Source organism: Homo sapiens, chromosome 17 (genome assembly GCF_000001405.40).
Source record: "Homo sapiens chromosome 17, GRCh38.p14 Primary Assembly".
Taxonomy (NCBI): Eukaryota; Metazoa; Chordata; class Mammalia; order Primates; family Hominidae; genus Homo; species Homo sapiens.
Window position 1 is genome coordinate 73,192,282 of NC_000017.11, and position 14,079 is coordinate 73,206,360.

The 14,079-nt window shown below is 50.1% G+C and overlaps 1 protein-coding gene across 1 annotated transcript in view, besides 6 other annotated features; it reads left to right on the forward strand.

The window, feature by feature from the left end:
- Positions 1–760: an enhancer, noted in NCBI's record as "H3K27ac hESC enhancer chr17:71188421-71189180 (GRCh37/hg19 assembly coordinates)". NCBI's record gives its function as "activates a minimal SCP1, AML or CMV promoter by ChIP-STARR-seq in naive H9 embryonic stem cells {active_cell/tissue: H9 hESC(naive)}" and the evidence as "EXISTENCE:reporter gene assay evidence [ECO:0000049][PMID:30033119]".
- Positions 46–95: an enhancer, noted in NCBI's record as "active region_12689". NCBI's record gives its function as "activates an Ori minimal core promoter by ATAC-STARR-seq in GM12878 lymphoblastoid cells {active_cell/tissue: GM12878}" and the evidence as "EXISTENCE:reporter gene assay evidence [ECO:0000049][PMID:35858748]".
- Positions 726–1,005: an enhancer, noted in NCBI's record as "active region_12690". NCBI's record gives its function as "activates an Ori minimal core promoter by ATAC-STARR-seq in GM12878 lymphoblastoid cells {active_cell/tissue: GM12878}" and the evidence as "EXISTENCE:reporter gene assay evidence [ECO:0000049][PMID:35858748]".
- The window catches only part of COG1 (component of oligomeric golgi complex 1), a 15,453-nt gene continuing 2,147 nt past the window's right edge, over positions 774–14,079 (forward strand). The window contains exons 1-11 of the mRNA NM_018714.3: positions 774–1,103; positions 4,226–4,470; positions 4,619–4,800; positions 4,945–5,115; positions 7,584–7,740; positions 8,285–8,495; positions 8,828–9,619; positions 10,719–10,865; positions 11,351–11,512; positions 13,272–13,399; positions 13,873–13,981. Of these exons, the coding sequence (NP_061184.1) occupies positions 789–1,103; positions 4,226–4,470; positions 4,619–4,800; positions 4,945–5,115; positions 7,584–7,740; positions 8,285–8,495; positions 8,828–9,619; positions 10,719–10,865; positions 11,351–11,512; positions 13,272–13,399; positions 13,873–13,981 (2,619 nt within the window). The 5' untranslated portion in view covers positions 774–788. The remainder of the gene's footprint in view (positions 1,104–4,225; positions 4,471–4,618; positions 4,801–4,944; positions 5,116–7,583; positions 7,741–8,284; positions 8,496–8,827; positions 9,620–10,718; positions 10,866–11,350; positions 11,513–13,271; positions 13,400–13,872; positions 13,982–14,079) is intronic.
- Positions 1,056–1,265: a silencer, noted in NCBI's record as "silent region_8921". NCBI's record gives its function as "represses an Ori minimal core promoter by ATAC-STARR-seq in GM12878 lymphoblastoid cells {active_cell/tissue: GM12878}" and the evidence as "EXISTENCE:reporter gene assay evidence [ECO:0000049][PMID:35858748]".
- Positions 7,528–8,727: an enhancer, noted in NCBI's record as "CDK7 strongly-dependent group 2 enhancer chr17:71195948-71197147 (GRCh37/hg19 assembly coordinates)". NCBI's record gives its function as "activates an origin of replication core promoter dependent on BRD2, BRD4, P300/CBP, MED14 and CDK7 cofactors, with strong dependence on CDK7, by STARR-seq in HCT116 cells {active_cell/tissue: HCT116}" and the evidence as "EXISTENCE:reporter gene assay evidence [ECO:0000049][PMID:35650434]".
- Positions 11,129–11,423: a silencer, noted in NCBI's record as "tiled region #2581; K562 Repressive non-DNase unmatched - State 17:Gen3'". NCBI's record gives its function as "represses a minimal TATA promoter and a strong SV40 promoter by Sharpr-MPRA in K562 cells {active_cell/tissue: K562}" and the evidence as "EXISTENCE:reporter gene assay evidence [ECO:0000049][PMID:27701403]".

The following is a 14,079-nucleotide window of genomic DNA, read 5'->3' on the forward strand; positions in this document are numbered from 1 at the left end:
CACCCGTCTGGCGCTGCGTTCCCCGGGGCGTCCCAGCCTCTCCCGCCCAGCCCGCCGCCCTCCTCCCCCATGGCCACCAAGGTCAGGCTCTCGCAGGGAAAACGTCTTCAGGGGCTAAACATCGGTTTTAAACGAAATGGAAAACCTCCAACACGAATCAACAGCAGAGGAAAAGCAGACGCCAAACAAGCGCTCAGAACCCCTTCAGGGGCGGCGTGGTAGCTCTTCCCGGGGAACAGCGAGGGGCGCGGATGTCCCTCTTCCTAAAACTGCACGCGGGGTGCGATCCGAGACCCAGCGGCGGCGAGCGCGCCCGAGTCTGCTCGCGGGCGCCAGGCGCGCGGAGAGCGGCGGCTGCGCCTGCGCCAACGCCGTCAGTCCGCGGGGCCCGATCCCGACACCTAACTCCACAGAGAAGCTCTGCTCCTAAGGGAAAGGGAAGACTTCAGCCACAGTTTCGCAGCCAACCTGGCGACCTCACCTCTCTGGCGACCTCACTTCCCAGCCGGCTCCGTTTAAGAAAACCCCGCGCAGGACCGCGCCCGCCCCCGCGCCCGCGCCCGCCCCCGCCCCCTCGCGCCCGCCCCCTCGCGCCCGCCCCCTCGCGCCCGCCCCCTCGCGCCCGCCCCCTCGCGCCCGCCCCCTCGCGCCCGCCCCCTCGCGCCCGCCCCCTCGGGTAACAAACATGGCCCCCGGCGGGGCGGAAGCGCTTCCGCCCCCAACGAAGATGGCGGAGGGGGCGGGACTAAAAGGGCGTAGGTAGATCGCCGGGGGCTGACGAGTGCACCATGGCCACCGCGGCAACCTCACCCGCGCTGAAGCGGCTGGATCTGCGCGACCCTGCGGCTCTTTTCGAGACGCATGGAGCGGAGGAGATCCGCGGGCTGGAGCGCCAGGTTCGGGCCGAGATCGAGCACAAGAAGGAGGAGCTGCGGCAGATGGTGGGCGAACGGTACCGCGACCTGATCGAGGCGGCCGACACCATCGGCCAGATGCGCCGCTGCGCCGTGGGGCTAGTGGACGCCGTGAAGGCCACCGACCAGTACTGCGCCCGCCTCCGCCAGGCCGGCTCGGCCGCGCCCCGGCCACCGCGGGCCCAGCAGGTCAGTCCCCGTGCCCCCACCCTGCGACCCGCAGGCGGGTCCCGGAGCCCCTGGCCTTGCAGGTCAACCCCGCCCCCCTCTGTCAGTCCCAGACCCCGCGAGTCCTCACCTTCCTTAGCCAGGAGCCTATCCGCCCCTCACCCTTTGGGCCCCCCTCAGAGGACAGTGCCAGCCTTCCTTGCACATATGCGGCTGCTGATCCGTTCTGGAAATGCCATTCAACAGTTTCTTCAGGCGCTTTCCCCCGACTTCCGGGCCTTGATTCCTACACCTCACTGGGCTCCTTTCAATTTTAGCGGAAAACGCCAGGAGTTTCTGTCTTGACAGTTCAACGCTCACCTATATAACATGTCCTGACATTGTTTTTCCTCAGGTTTCTCCCCTATGTTGACACCTGCACTCCAAGTCATTTCTTCCTCATCCCAACCTTCCCCTTATCTCCCCAAGAATAACTTCCACAACCCCAAATAGCTGTTCTACCCTTTGGGAGTTGTTGAGGGTACCAGCTATCAAGCCCTTAACTTTATGTATGTATGTGACAGGGTCTCCCAAAGTGCTGGGATTACAGTCATGAGCCACCACAGCCGGCCAAGCCCTTACCTTTTAATAGCTGAACATTTTCATTTTCAGAACTAAGGCTTTTTTCATTCAGGTTCTCCTTATCCCGTGTTCTTCCCCCCAAACGCTATTGATTAGACACAATGAGGAAGGATGGGAGGTAAACAAACACATCCTCATATTGGAGCTGCAGCTTGCGTTCCTAAAGAATTTTTATTGGCCGGGTGCGGTGGCTCACGCCTGTAATCCCAGCACTTTGGGAGGCCGAGGCGGGTGGATCACGAGGTCAGGAGATCCAGACCATCCTGGCTAACACGGTGAAACCCCGTCTCTACTAAAAATACACAAAATTAGCCAGGCGTGGTGGCCGGCGCCTGTAGTCCCAGCTACCTGGGAGGCTGAGGCAGGAGAATGGCATGAACCCGGGAGGCGGAGCTTGCAGTGAGCCGAGATCGCGCCACTGCACTCCAGCCTGGGCCACAGAGCGAGACTCTGTCTCAAAAAAAAAAAAAAAAAGAATTTTTATTTCTTTATTTTTTGAGACAGGATCTCGCTCTGTCACCCAGGCTGGAGTGCAGTGGCGCGATCTCGGCTCACTGCAACCTCCGCCTCCCGGGTTCAAGCGATTCTCCTGCCTCAGCCACCCGCGTAGCTGGGATTACAGGCACCTGCCACCATGTCCGACTAATTTTTGTACTTTCAGTAGAGACGGGGTTTCACCATATTGGCCCGGCTGGTCTCCAACCCCTGACCTCATGTGATCTGCCTGCCTTGGCCTCCCAAAGTGATGGGATTACAGGCGCGAGAGCCACCGCGCACGGCCCCTTAAAGAATATAGACCTAGCAATGAACGAAGTGAAAGGGCATGAAGGGTGAAAAAGGTAAACAGTTAGTTGTTTTTAACAGCCTGGGAGAACTTACTGGGACATAGAAGAAAAAATTGAAAAGTACAGTCTAACTCCAATTTGGAACTTGTTCATGCTATCTGAGCTTTACAGAAATCCTGGTCAGTAGACTGGACTGACACAATAAAACTATAGGAAGTTGCAAATAAGTTTGCATATTTTTGAAATGAGTGACCTCATCCCTCCCAAAGCTAACATTTAGTACACGTGTCCCCTTAGGTGGCCAGCCTTTGCTGTAACTGAGTCATGCTTCAGGGTTTATTAAAACGCTAACTTGAATTATGCCTGATTTTAGAAACGTATTGATTTTCATAGTTGTTATATCTGGTTTATTCTCGGTTAACCCTACAAAAATTTGAGTGTCTTCTTCGTTCACATTACAAAGAAACAGAAGTCCCCCAATTCCTGCTCTGAAGGAGCTTACAACCTGGTCGAGGAAATAAATCCATGGAAACTTGACGAGAAAAAAATGTAAAAAAATTTAGAATAACAGGTCAGGCGCTGTGGCTCATGCCAGCACTTTGGGAGGCCAAGGCAGGTGGATTGCTTGATCACAGGAGTTTGAAACCAACCTGGGCAACACGGTGAAACACCATCTCTACAAAAAATACCAAAAAGTGAGCGGGCATGGTGGCACATGCCTGTGGTCCCAGCTACTTGGAAGGCTGAAGTGGGAAGATCTCTTGAGCCCAAGAGGTCAAGGCTGCAGTGAGCCATGATCGCACCACTGCACCCCAGCCTGGGCAACAAAGTGAGATGCTGTCCCAAAAAAAAAAAAAAAAAAGGCTGGGCGCGGTGGCTCAGGCCTGTTATCCCAGCACTTTGGGAGGCTGAGGCGGTGGATCACTTGAGGTCAGGAGTTTGAGACCAGCCTGGCCAACATGGTAAAACCCTGTCTCTACTGAAAATACAAAAATTAGCCAGGCGTGGCGACACGCACCTGCGATCCCAGCTACTCAGGAGGCTGAGGCAGGAGAATCACTGGAACCCGGGATGTTTGATTCCCAAAATAATTGTGTATATTTACCCTAGGAGTTCTGAAGGAAGTCAGTTTAGGCTTGGGTTGTTCTTAGTAAGGAGGGACCTTAAGGGCATGATGAGATTTGGAATTTAGGTTTCTTAGTCCATTTGTGCTGCCATAACAAAATACCTGAGATTGGGCAATTTATAACACAAGTGTATTTTTCACAGTTGTGGGTCTGGGAAGTCCAAGATTAAGGCACTGGCCTTTGATGTCTGGTGAGGGCCTTCTTGCTGTATCCTCACGTGGGGGAAGGTAGAAGAACCTAAAAGTTGCCTCCAGCCCTTTTATGAGGCACTGATCCATTTGCTGTGGTTTGGATTTGTGTCTTGCCCACATCTCATGTTGAATTATAATCCCCAATGTTGGAGGTGGGGCCTGGTGGGAGACGAAAGTTTGCCTCTTCGTGGGGCTGAGCAAAAATGCACGCGTGTGTAGGAAAAACCATGGGATCTTACAACACTCCTGACTCTGGCAACTCTTCTACACTGGGCTTTGATGACTTGCTGAGTTGTACTGAACCCAGCTTAATAGAAGTTTTGTATCCTTAAATACCCCCAGATTTCTTCCTAAGCCTACAGAACACTGAGATTGCTTTTGTTCGTTCTTCTGGTTTAGTTCTGTGCCTTCCCCTGCAGCCACAGCAGCCATCCCAGGAGAAGTTCTACAGCATGGCTGCCCAGATCAAGCTACTCTTAGAAATTCCGGAGAAGATCTGGAGCTCGATGGAAGCCTCTCAGTGTCTCCACGCCACACAGCTCTACCTGCTCTGCTGCCACCTCCACAGCCTGCTCCAGCTGGATTCTTCTAGTTCCCGATACAGTCCCGTCCTCTCCCGGTTTCCTATACTCATCCGGCAGGTGGCAGCCGCCAGCCACTTCCGGTAAGTGGATCCAGCGCAAAGAGCTGCTCTGGTGGTGGCCAGGCTTCACATTACGGGTTTATGGCGTTTGTCTTCTTTCCTGATGTACCAAAGCTCTTTACCCAAGATGTGAAAAACACCCTGGCGACTTCTGTCATCATTTTTCTAGGTCAACTATTCTGCATGAAAGCAAGATGTTGCTCAAATGCCAAGGTGTGTCTGACCAAGCTGTGGCCGAGGCCCTGTGCTCTATAATGCTCTTAGAAGAGAGTTCTCCTCGCCAAGCCCTCACAGACTTCCTGCTGGCCAGAAAGGCAACTATTCAGAAACTTCTCAACCAGCCACACCATGGTGGGTGTGGCTTCTGGCCAACATTTGGTCCTTAAATATGGGATGGAGAAGGGTGAGCTGCGGGAGACTGAAGCCTCCAGAGCGTCCTCTGTCTTTCACTTTGGGAAAGGTAATTGTTTCAAAGAGGATGGTTTCTTCTTTTAGGTGCTGGTATCAAGGCTCAGATTTGCTCATTAGTGGAGTTGCTGGCCACCACTCTGAAGCAAGCTCATGCCCTTTTCTACACTTTGCCAGAAGGACTGCTGCCAGATCCAGCCCTGCCATGTGGCTTGCTCTTCTCTACTCTGGAGACCATCACAGGCCAGCATCCTGCCGGTGAGCTCTTAGCCAAGCTTTTTAAATTCTGGTTCACTCAACTGATAATTTGCTCAGCGTCTACCGTGTGCCAGCCACCATGCTAGGCTCTGGGGATGGAGCAGTGAACTGGACAAATAGAGGCCCTTCCTTCATCGAGGCCACAGTTGAGTGGTAGAAGCAGGTATCAGACTCACAAATATGCGAATATCCATTTAGTGTCTATATTGGTCATTGCTAGAAAGGCTTAGTACAAGTTGCCTTGGGAACATTGAATGGAAGTAACTCACCAAGGTCAGAGAAGGCTTCCCTGGAGAAGCCTTTAACCTGAAAGCTGAAGGTTGAGTGGGAGTCACTTAGATGAAGAAGGCAAGCAACAGGCTTTCAGGCAAAGGGAAGAGGATGTGCAAAGATCCTGAGGCAAGAAGAAACTGTAAGACAGCCAGTGAGGCATTGGGTGAGGGGGAGAGCTGCTTGAGCAGAGACTGGAGGTGGGGCCAGGGGCCAGATAATGCCCAGCCTTGTGAGCGAGGCTAGGGAATTTAGACTTTATCCAAAGAACAATGGAAGCCTCCTGGGACCTTCCAGGCTTGGTGCGGACCCTCTGTTATGTGTGCCCGTGCATCCTGTACTTTTATTTGGTAGCATTTATCGCAACTGAAATGAAATAAATGAATTTGGCTTTTAGGTGGAATAGATCCCCTTGGGGCTAGAATGGATGCCAAGAGCTCACTTAGGAGGCTGTTGCCACGATCCAGGTGTCAGCCGCTGGGAGCTTGGGTTACGAAGGAACAATAGAGACGGAGCTAATTGCATGTTCGGACGTCTGTTTAGGAGGAGAGGATTTGGTGACAGATTGGCTGTAAGGATGTGAGAAGGGAGGTGACCAAGTTAAGTAGAAATGGAGCTGGTTTGAAGTGGCCGATGATGGGTTCACTTTGAAATGGCCCAGTGCTGTGGCTCACATCTGTAATCCCAGCACTTTGGAAGCTGAGGCAGTCCAGGAGTTTGAGATCAGCCTGGGCAGCATAGTGAGACCCCATCTCTACAAAAGATAAACATTTGCTGTGTGTGGTGGCATGCCCCTGTGGTCCCTGCTATTTGGGAGGCTGAGGCAGAAGGATCATTTGAGCCAGGGAGGTTGAGGCTGAAGTGAGCAGTGACTGTGCCACTGCTTTCCTGCCTGGGTGACAGAGCGAGAACCTGTCTTTAAAAAAACGAAAGAGAGAAAACGTTGCATTGGCGATGGCTGAGGCCTTGGAATGGGACTGTGAAGCGGGCAGGTGCCTGAGGGCCCAGAACAGATCGCTGGGAGGTCTAGTTGGAGACACACTGTTGTACATCTGCATGTGGCTGTTATTTCAAGCTGTGGGAATGGATGACATCATCAGTAAGGAGATGACAGAGGACTCTGCCTTATGGAACTCCAGAAATCCAAGGTCAAATGGAGGTGTCAGCAAAATTGACAAAGGAGATACAGCCAAAGGTAGAAAGGAAACAGAAGAGTGCGGTGGTGGCCACGTGGCTGTTTCCAGAGAGAGGTGCTTAATGTCACCTCATCTTGGCTCACTTTATCTTTCAACTCCACCTCCTTATGCTTCGCTTTCCCTCAAGGTGCTTACATTTAGTACCTCATCCCACTCAGGAAGGGTGGGTACTGGCTGACTTGTCATGGCTTTAGAAAGCAGTACAAGGGGCCTTGGGAGGGCCCTGGGTTTCAAACTCCGGAGGGTGCCTTATGCTCAGAACACAGTGAACGGGGCCTCCCAGAGTTGCGCAGTGCAGGCCTGTCCCCTTCTTGACAGGTCACCTCTGAAGAGCTATGAACGACTCAGTTAATCAGGATAAGCAGTCATCGATTCTTTCCTTCCATCTTCGGGGGAGGTAGGAGGATTGAGAGGAAAGGGAAGCCATTACCTTTTGCTTTTTTGACAACTTAAGTTCTACTTTGAAAACCCCCAGGACTGCATAGCACTCATTTCTTCTTTCTACTCTTTTGATCCCCGTTTTTGTTTCCTCCCGATCTTTGCCATTCTTCTCAACCAACAGAATGACCAGAGTTGTGGGGCGGCTGCCACACTCCCTGATGGGACCTCACACGTGTCCCGTACTTTCTCTTTCCTTGTATTTCAGAAGTCCAGTTTGACCTTCCAAAGGAAAACTTGATAAGTTTTGGAAATTTCTTCTAAGTCCATCTTTTATTTATTTATTTTTTTGGAGACAGGGTCTCACCTTGTTGCCCAGGCTTGAGTGTAGTGGCATGATCATGGGTCACTGCAGCCTCGACCTCCTGGGCTCAAATGATCCTCCTACCTCAGTCTCCCAAGTAGCTGCAACTACAGGTGTGCACCATGACGCCTGGCAAATTGTTTCTTTTTTGTAGAGGTGAGGTTTCACTGTGTTGCCCAAGCTGGCCTGGCCTAACTCCCTGTTTCAATATGCACTTCAAAGGGTGGCCTAGATGGCTTCTCACTTGGCCTTCTCTTTAGGAAAGGGCACTGGTGTCCTGCAGGAAGAGATGAAACTCTGCAGCTGGTTTAAACACCTGCCAGCATCCATCGTCGAGTTCCAGCCAACACTCCGAACCCTTGCACATCCCATCAGTCAGGAATACCTGAAAGACACGCTGCAGAAATGGATCCACATGTAAGTAACCAGAAAGAGCTTCCCTGCAGCTGGCAGGAGCCACCCATGCAGCCTTGTACGGGGCATTACAAGGGTCAGCGAGGCATGTGCAGAAAGCCTGTCCTGGATGGCGTGCTGCCCATCAGCCAGCCTCTCACTCTGTGACCCATTGCCACCTTTGAGGTCATTCAGCACCCGCTGTGGGAGAACCAAGAAGGAATTTGTCTTTCAAAAGGTTATGTGGGAGTTTTAAATTCTCTTTATGTGAGAGTTCTGCAACTCCTGTTTTTACTTAATGCATTGTTTTTTTAAGCCATTCCGCAGGGTCCAGACTTGCGTATATCCTCGGGGAAGCAAGGGTAGGCCTGGTGTGGGCAACAGACTGCATGCCCCAACCCAGCCAAAACGCTCTGTGTTGCTACAGGTCTATCAACACTGAGACACATAGATATTTATCTACTGGAACTCAGATAAGAGATTGTCAAATGGGATTCTGATGTTTTTCTTAATAAAGATGTGAACACCATGCCTCTGATGGAGCCCAAAGAACATGATTCTGTTGCAGGTGTAATGAAGACATTAAAAATGGGATCACCAACCTGCTCATGTACGTGAAGAGCATGAAGGGTCTCGCGGGAATCCGGGACGCCATGTGGGAGTTACTTACCAATGAGTCCACCAATCACAGCTGGGATGTGCTATGTCGGCGGCTTCTGGAGAAGCCGCTCTTGTTCTGGGAAGATATGATGCAGCAACTGTTCCTTGACCGATTACAGGTGAGCTGGACAGTCACATGGTCTACCTGTTTTATGGCCAATCCTAGTGGTATTTTGACTGTCTTGGGAGATTTCTGTCGCTTCCCAAGTATATTCTTTTCCTGCTTAGTAACAGATCCAGAGTCTAGAGCTGAAAATACACCAGGCCTCTGTCACTTGATCGGGAATGGGCCCATGTTCATCAATAATGGCTTTATTCTCTGCCAACACCATGCCATCTTTCTGAAGATGGTGAACCTTCTGAATGCTAGGATAAATTACCATTTGGTACTTTTGTTTTGAAATGTCCTTAAAGGAACTGTGATTAGAACTCTTCTCTCATTCTCTTTTAGACTCTGACAAAAGAAGGCTTTGACTCCATCTCCAGTAGCTCCAAGGAGCTCTTGGTTTCAGCTTTGCAGGAACTTGAAAGCAGCACCAGCAACTCCCCTTCAAATAAGCACATCCACTTTGAGTACAACATGTCGCTCTTCCTCTGGTCTGAGAGTCCTAATGACCTGCCTTCCGATGCGGCCTGGGTCAGCGTGGCAAACCGGGGTCAGTTTGCCAGTAGCGGCCTCTCCATGAAAGCACAAGCCATCAGCCCTTGTGTACAGAACTTCTGTTCTGCCCTGGATTCTAAGCTGAAGGTTAAACTAGATGACCTCCTGGCTTACCTCCCCTCTGATGACTCATCACTGCCCAAGGACGTTTCTCCCACACAGGCCAAGAGTTCTGCCTTTGACAGATACGCAGATGCGGGGACCGTGCAGGAGATGCTGCGGACTCAGTCCGTGGCATGCATCAAGCACATCGTGGACTGCATCCGGGCAGAGCTACAGAGCATTGAAGAGGGTGTGCAAGGGCAACAGGATGCCCTCAACAGTGCCAAGCTGCACTCAGTTCTTTTCATGGCCAGACTCTGCCAGTCCCTGGGAGAGCTGTGCCCCCATCTGAAGCAGTGCATCCTGGGAAAATCAGAGAGCTCAGAGAAACCAGCAAGGGAGTTTAGGGCTCTGAGAAAACAGGGAAAGGTGAAAACTCAGGAAATCATTCCTACACAGGCCAAGTGGCAAGAGGTTAAAGAAGTACTCCTCCAGCAGAGCGTGATGGGCTACCAGGTCTGGAGCAGTGCAGTTGTGAAAGTGAGTGATGTAATTTCTTATCCCTGTCTTGTCTCACTTCTGTCATATTCCAGTCTTGCCAACCTCAATCAGTTCCTTCAGTAGTAAAGGCAAAACAATTCTGATTTCATACGGTTAACTTTATCTCTGCCAGAAAGTTCAGTAAAAACTTTTTTGGCCGGGCGCGGTGGCTCATGCCTGTAATCCCAGCACTTTGGGAGGCCAAGATGGGCAGATCGCGAGGTCAGGAGATCGAGACCATCCTGGCTAACATGGTGAAACCCCGTCTCTACTAAAAAAATACAAAAAATTAGCCGGGCATGGTGGTGGGCGCCTGTAGTCCCAGCTACTCGGAAGGCTGAGGCAGGAGAATGGTGTGAACCCGGGAGGCAGAGCTTGCAGTGAGCCGAGATCGCACCACTGCACTCTAGCCTGGGCAACAGGGCGAGACTCCGTCTCAAAAAAAACTTTTTCATTCATTTTTAGCTTAGATTCAGTAGACAGAAAAGCTGCATTTTTTCCTTGCATCAGATGAGAATGAAAGACTTTCTGCCTGGATTTCCTCTCTTTAACCTAAATATCATATTCCCAGTAGCCTCCACTTGTACCTTAAGAGGTGGTATTTGGGCCAGGCATGGCGGCTCATGCCTGTAATCCTAGCACTTTGGGAGGCTGAGATGGTTGGATTGTGTGAACCCAGGAATTCAAGACCAGCCTGGGCAACATGATGAAACCCCCTATCTACAAAAAGTACAGAAATTATTCGGATGTGATGGTGCACGCCTGTAGTCCCAGTTACTTGGGAAGCTGAGGCAGGAGCATTGCCTGAGCCTAGGAGGTCGAGGCTGCAGTGAGCTGTGATTGTGCCACTGCAATCAGCCTGGGAGAAGGGCAAGACCCTGTCTCAAAAAAAAAGAAGTGGTATTTGACATTTATAGGGTAGTTAGCAACAAAATTCCCATGGCTGATATCATTGATAATTAGCCAAAAGAGGACTGATACCATCACTGTACCTACAACTTCAGCAGCTTGAGCTGTTCTCAGGATTACACAGATTGTTTTAAAGAAACTCTACAGAGGATCTGAGTGGCTTGTATGGATATCTGCCTTTTATTACCAGGTTTTGATTCATGGATTCACCCAGTCATTACTTCTAGATGATGCTGGCTCAGTTCTGGCCACAGCCACCAGCTGGGATGAGCTAGAAATTCAGGAGGAGGCAGAGTCTGGCAGCAGTGTCACATCCAAGATCCGACTCCCTGCACAGGTGAGCAGGGACCATGGGCTGAAAAAGGGAATAAACTGCTCCGTGGAAAAGAAGAAAGATTTTAGAAAATCATTCAACATACAACTTCTGAGGAATAGCTGAAAGTAACATCTGTAATTTTCTACTGTGGGGGCATAGTAGATGTAGGGCTAAGTAAATGGCAGACTGTTCAAGAAGTCAGTTAACCATTCTTTCCTTTTGTAGCATAGGCTCTGTGCTAATTAGGGAACCACTTACTTGCCGTGAAATCAGCAGCATAAAACACAGGCACCTCTTCGAGATCAGCCTCAGACCGTGGAGGCAGTAACAGCAAATTGCACTTAACCAGGGGCCTTGTGTCTGCTGAACAGTCTGCCTGTAAGAAGCGTTGCTGAGAGGGGTCAAAGTCCTGGCACATAGGCCTTGTAAGATTAAGTGGATTCACTTTCACTGTGTGTCATTTAATTGGTGCAAGTTGGCAATGTGACATTTCTTTGTTCTTTTAGCCGTCCTGGTATGTACAGTCCTTCCTGTTTAGTTTATGCCAGGAAATTAATCGGGTTGGAGGCCATGCCTTGCCAAAGGTGACATTACAGGAGATGCTGAAAAGCTGTATGGTTCAAGTAGTAGCTGCCTATGAGAAACTCTCCGAAGAAAAACAGATTAAGGTAGGTGTCTGAATGTTTGCCCATTAAAAACACAAATTAAACAAAAGAAAACCTTAGCATTGTCTTGGGTTTGAGCAGTTCACATCAAAGACTCAAACTGTTAAGGATCACCCAGCCCAGGCATCGGGTCCTGTAAAAATGCTCTATCTTAGGAGTAGCACCCAGCGCTGTGAGTTTACTTACACTCATTCTAAAGGGTCAGCAGATCTTCGCTAAGAAGGCAGCTCAGCACAGATGGAAACACCAAGACCCAGAACTTTGGGAGGCTGAGGTGGGAGGATGGCTTCAGCTTGGGAGTTCACGGCTGCAATGAGCAGCTATCATCTCACCACTGCACTCCAGCCTGGGCGACAAAGCAAGACCCTGTCTCTTAAAAAGACAAAACAAAAAAATCAAAAAACAATGAAAAGGATCAGAGCTTCAAAATAAAAGACCTGGCTTCCAACCTCAGTGCTGCCACTGGTTCACTGGGGGCTCCGGGCAAATCATTAACCTCCGTTTCCTTAGGGCCAAATGTGATCCTGTAGATAAACCGCTCAGTGGTTTCCTCACTTGTAAAAGGCAGACAGCCCCCGGCCCCAGCCACAGCACACCTACCTCAGGGGTGACTGTGGGGAGTTAGAGAGAACAGTTGCCTGCCACAAAGTGTGACACACAGAGGTGCTTACTTACGGGGAGTTCTTGTCTCCCAACCCTTCACACTGCTTTCACTGTCTAGGAAGCGTTCTGCCCTTGGTGTATAATCCCATTTCATTAGTAACTTTTTTTTTTTTTTTTTTTTTTTGAGACAGAGTCTCACTCTGTCACCCAGGCTGGAGTGCAGTGGCACCATCTCGGCTCACTGCAACCTCAACCTCCCAGGCTCAGGAGATTCTCCCACCTCAGCCTCCCGAATAGTTGGGACCACAAGGCATGCGCCAGCACACCTAATTTTTGTTATTTTTTGTAGAGACAGGTTTTGCGATTTTGCCCAGGCTGGTCTCAAACTCCTGGGTTCAAGCAAATCGCTTGTTTCGGCCTCCCAAAGTGCTGGGACTATGGGCAGGAGCCATCACGCCTGGCCAGTAACATTTTTTAGAAGGAACATGGTCAGGTGCGATGGCTGACACCTGTAATCCCAGTACTTTGGGAGGCCAAGGCGGGTGGATCACTTGAGGCCAGGAGTTCGAGACCAGCCTGACCAACATGGTGAAACCCCATCTCTACTAAAAATACAAAAATTAGCCGGGTGTGGTGGCGTACATCTGTAGTCCCAGCTACTCAGGAGGGTGAGGCAGGAGAATTGCTTGAACCTGGGAGGTGGAGGTTGCAGTGAGCCCAGATTGTGTCACTGCACTCCAGCCTGGGCAACAAGGCGAGACTCTATCTCAAAACAAACAAACAAACAAACAAACAAAAACCCAAGAAGGAACAAATCCTGATTTTGGAAAGAATTCAGTAAGTCTTCTCTAATGAGCCTCCTCAAAACACTTCTCCTTCAGGCAAGGAGCCTTTTTTTCCCCTTTAGAACAACCATTTACAGCATCTGAGGCCTTTTTTAAGGGCCAGGTCTCTTCCCTGCTGTTAGGTTTTTAATTTTAAGGTCAAGTTTCTAACAAAATTTGTTTTGTTGTTGTGAGATTAAACTGGCCATATGAGCATTAAAACCATCTGCTTCTGAAATAGCAAGCTGAAACTCAACCAAAACTTGAAGCTGTTTATTACGCTCACATACCAAGTCCTCTCTCTTCATGGGTGGGGACTGGGAATTCATTTGCAGAAAGAAGGTGCATTTCCAGTCACCCAGAACCGGGCGCTGCAGCTGCTTTATGATCTGCGTTACCTCAACATTGTTCTGACAGCCAAGGGTGACGAGGTGAAGAGTGGCCGGAGCAAGCCAGACTCCAGGTGTCGTATCCTCTAGGGAGCTATGTCAAGGCGGTCTCTTCCAAAAGCAAATAGTCCCTTTGCTGGGAAGCCACCAGAGTCAGCCTGTTATACTGCACATTCATTGTGTTTGTTTTGAACAGTAAGTGCTCATATTGCCAGCAAGTTAAATAATGGCCGCCTGCTGGATAAATGCAATGGTCAAGTGAAATAGGTGGACTCTTATTCCCCTCTCTTCTGAGTCAGCCTAGCAGCTGCTGAGTATCATTTGAGCCCTTAGTGCCCTCCTTATAGACAGAACGGGGGAAAGGGTGGACTTCACTTAGACATCATGCTTGAGGGTGACTTAAGCACTATCATCAGTGACAAACGTACTAAGCCAGCAACTAAGTAGAATAAAACCCAACTCCAAGATTTCTACAGCAGTAGGATATCATAAGATTGTTTTTGATCCTAAAAAATGTGGACAGTAATGATCCTAATCCTTTTCTCAGAATTGAGAAAGTGACTGACCACCTGGAAGCCCTCATTGATCCATTTGACCTGGACGTTTTCACGCCACACCTCAACAGCAACCTTCATCGCCTGGTGCAGCGAACTTCTGTGAGTCAAATCAAAAACATGCTTAGTGCGAACGAAGCGATACAGGCTCAAATAACAAAATTAACCTGCTCAAGCACGTAATACTCCAGGATGCAGCA